Raw genomic sequence first — 4,338 nt, forward strand, 5'->3', positions numbered from 1 at the left:
GACCAAGTCTACCCTCACCTATAAATCTACTAGCCCGCAGGCCTTGAAAAGAAAAGATAGACACCAGTGCTGTTTCAACAACAAGAAGGCCTGAACACTTTTTCTTAAAAAAAATAAATAAATAAATTAAAAGTGTTTGAAGATAAGTTGTCCCTCTGTCACCCAGACTGGAGTGCATTGACACGATCATAGCATCATAGCTCACGGTAACCTTATACTCCTTGGTTCAAGTGATCCTCTTGCCTCAGCCTCCTAATGAGCTAGGACCACAAGCACACACTACTATGCCTAGTTAACATTTTTTTTTGTAGAGATGGGATCTTGATATGTTGCTCAGACTGACCTCAAACTCCCAGCCTCAAGCAATCCTCCCACCTTGACCTCTCAAAGCACTAAGATTACAAGCTTGATCCACTACGCCCAGCTATGAACACGTTTTCTGCATTGGTTTCATGATGGTTTGTCCCTGACATTGGGAAGCCCCTTAGCAACAAAGGCCTGTTTTTGAAAATTCTTTTGCGATTATTTGCAAGATGGCCGAATAGGAACAGCTCCAGTCTACAGCTCCCAGTGTGAGTGACGCAGAAGACGGGTGATTTCTGCATTTCCATCTGAGGTACCGGGTTCATCTCACTAGGGAGTGCCAGACAGTGGGCGCAGGTCAGTGGGTGCACGCACCGTGTGTGAGCCGAAGCAGGGCGAGGCATTGCCTCACTTGGGAAGCGCAAGGGGTCAGGGAGTTCCCTTTCCGAGTCAAAGAAAGGGGTGATGGACGCACCTGGAAAATCGGGTCACTCCCACCCAAATACTGCGCTTTTCCGACGGGCTTAAAAAACGGCGCACCACGAGATTATATCCCGCACCTGGCTCGGAGGGTCCTACCCCCATGGAGTCTTGCTGATTGCTGGCACAGCAGTCTGATATCAAACTGCAAGGTGGCAGCCAGGCTGGGGGAGGGGCGCCCGCCATTGCCCAGGCTTGCTTAGGTAAACAAAGCAGCTGGGAAGCTCCAACTGGGTGGAGTCCACCACAGCTCAAGGAGGCCTGCCTGCCACTGTAGGCTCCACCTCCGGGGGCAGGGCACAGACAAACAAAAAGACAGCAGTAACCTCTGCAGACTTAAATGTCCCTGTCTGACAGTTTGAAGAGAGCAGTGGTTCTCCCAGCATGCAGCTGGAGATCTGGGAACCAGCAGACTGCCTCCTCAAGTGGGTCCCTGACCCCTGACCCCCGAGCAGCCTAACTGGGAGGCACCCCCAGCAGGGGCACACTGACACCTCACACGGCAGGGTATTCCAACAGACCTGCAGCTGAGGGTCCTGTCTGTTAGAAGGAAAACTAACAAACAGAAAGGACATCCACACCAAAAACCCATCTGTACATCACCATCATCAAAGACCAAAAGTAGATAAAACCACAAAGATAGGGAAAAAACAGAGCAGAAAAACTAGAAACTCTAAAAAGCAGAGCACCTCTCCTCCTCCAAAGGAACGCAGTTCCTCACCAGCAACAGAACAAAGCTGGATGGAGAATGACTTTGACGAGCTGAGTGAAGAAGGCTTCAGACGATCAAATTACTCTGAGCTATGGGAAGACATTCAAACCAAAGGCCAAGAAGTTGAAAACTTTGAAAAAAATTTAGAAGAATGTAAAACTAGAATAACCAATACAGAGAAGTGCTTAAAGGAGCTGATGGAGCTGAAAACCAAGACTCGAGAACTACGTGAAGAATGCAGAAGCCTCAGGAGCCAATGCGATCAACTGGAAGAAAGGGTATCAGCAATGGAAGATGAAATGAATGAAATGAAGCAAGAAGGGAAGTTTAGAGAAAAAAGAATAAAAAGAAATGAGCAAAGCCTCCAAGAAATATGGGACTATGTGAAAAGACCAAATCTACGTCTCATTGGTGTACCTGAAAGTGATGGGGAGAATGGAACCAAGTTGGAAAACACTCTGCAGGATATTATCCAGGAGAACTTCCCCAATCTAGCAAGGCAGGCCAACGTTCAGATTCAGGAAATACACAGAATGCCACAAAGATACTCCTTGAGAAGAGCAACTCCAAGACACATAATTGTCAGATTCACCAAAGTTGAAATGAAGGAAAAAATGTTAAGGGCAGCCAGAGAGAAAGGTCGGGTTACCCTCAAAGGGAAGCCCATCAGACTAACAGCAGATCTCTCGTCAGAAACCCTACAAGCCAGAAGAGAGTGGGGGCCAATATTCAACATTCTTAAAGAAAAGAATTTTCAACCCAGAATTTCATATCCAGCCAAACTAAGCTTCATAAGCGAAGGAGAAATAAAATACTTTATAGACAAGCAAATGCTGAGAGATTTTGTCACCACCAGGCCTGCCCTAAAAGAGCTCCTGAAGGAAGCACTAAACATGGAAAGGAACAACCGGTACCAGCCGCTGCAAAATCATGCCAAAATGTAAAGACCATTGAGACTAGGAAGAAACTGCATGAACTAACGAGCAAAATAACCAGCTAACATCATAATGACAGGATCAAATTCACACATAACAATATTAACTTTAAATGTAAATGGACTAAATGCTCCAATTAAAAGACACAGACTGGCAAATTGGATAAGAGTCAAGACCCATCAGTGTGCTGTATTCAGGAAACCCATCTCACGTGCAGAGACACACATAGGCTCAAAATAAAAGGATGGAGGAAGATCTACCAAGCAAATGGAAAACAAAAAAAGGCAGGGGTTGCAATCCTAGTCTCTGATAAAACAGACTTTAAACCAACAAAGATCAAAAGAGACAAAGAAGGCCATTACATAATGGTAAAGGGATCAATTCAACAAGAAGAGCTAACTAACCTAAATATATATGCACCCAACACAGGAGCAACCAGATTCATAAAGCAAGTCCTGAGTGACCTACAAAGAGACTTAGACTCCCATACATTAATAATGGGAGACTTTAACACCCCACTGTCAACATTAGACAGATCAACGAGACAGAAAGTCAACAAGGATACCCAGGAATTGAACTCAGCTCTGCATCAAGCGGACCTAATAGACATCTACAGAACTCTCCACCCCAGATCAACAGAATATACATTTTTTTCAGCACCACACCACACCTATTCCAAAATTGACCACATAGTTGGAAGTAAAGCTCTCCTCAGCAAATGTAAAAGAACAGAGATTATAACAAACTATCTCTCAGACCACAGTGCAATCAAACTAGAACTCAGGATTAAGAATCTCACTCAAAACCGCTCAACTACATGGAAACTGAACAACCTGCTCCTGAATGACTACTGGGTACATAACAAAATGAAGGCAGAAATAAAGATGTTCTTTGAAACCAACGAGAACAAAGACACAACATACCAGAATCTCTGGGACGCATTCAAAGCAGTGTGTAGAGGGAAATTTATAGCACTAAATGCCCACAAGAGAAAGCAGGAAAGATCCAAAATTGACACCCTAACATCACAATTAAAAGAACTAGAAAAGCAAGAGCAAACACATTCAAACACAAGCAGAAGGCAAGAAATAACTAAAATCAGAGCAGAACTGAAGGAAATAGAGACACAAAAAACCCTTCAAAAAATTAATGAATCCAGGAGCTGGTTTTTTGAAAGGATCAACAAAATAGATAGACCGCTAGCAAGACTAATAAAGAAAAAAAGAGAGAAGAATCAAATAGACGCAATAAAAAATGATAAAGGGGATATCACCACCGATCCCACAGAAATACAAACTACCATCAGAGAATACTACAAACACCTCTACGCAAAAAAACTAGAAAATCTAGAAGAAATGGATAAATTCCTCGACACATACACTCTCCCAAGACTAAACCAGGAAGAAGTTGAATCTCTGAATAGACCAATAACAGGATCTGAAATTGAGGCAATAATCAATAGCTTACCAACCAATTAAACTAAAGAGCTTCTGCACAGCAAAAGAAACTACCATCAGAGTGAACAGGCAACCTACAAAATGGGAGAAAATTTTCGCAACCTACTCATCTGACAAAGGGCTAATATCCAGAATCTACAATGAACTCCAACACATTTACAAGAAAAAAAACAAACAACCCCATCAAAAAGTGGGTGAAGGACATGAACAGGCACTTCTCAAAAGAAGACATCTATGCAGCCAAAAAACACATGAAAAAATGCTCATCATCACTGGCCATCAGAGAAATGCAAATCAAAACCACAATGAGATACCATCTCACACGAGTTAGAATAGCAATCATTAAAAAGTCAGGAAACAACAGTTGCTGGAGAGGATGTGGAGAAATAGGAACACTTTTACGCTGTTGGTGGGACTGTAAACTAGTTCAACCATTGTGGAAGTCAGTGTG

The 4,338-nt window shown here is 43.1% G+C and overlaps 1 annotated feature.

The window, feature by feature from the left end:
- Positions 858-1,419: an enhancer, noted in NCBI's record as "H3K27ac-H3K4me1 hESC enhancer chr1:99054546-99055107 (GRCh37/hg19 assembly coordinates)". NCBI's record gives its function as "activates a minimal SCP1, AML or CMV promoter by ChIP-STARR-seq in primed H9 embryonic stem cells {active_cell/tissue: H9 hESC(primed)}" and the evidence as "EXISTENCE:reporter gene assay evidence [ECO:0000049][PMID:30033119]".

The sequence above is a fragment of the Homo sapiens genome, chromosome 1 (genome assembly GCF_000001405.40).
Source record: "Homo sapiens chromosome 1, GRCh38.p14 Primary Assembly".
In the NCBI taxonomy this organism is placed as follows: Eukaryota; Metazoa; Chordata; class Mammalia; order Primates; family Hominidae; genus Homo; species Homo sapiens.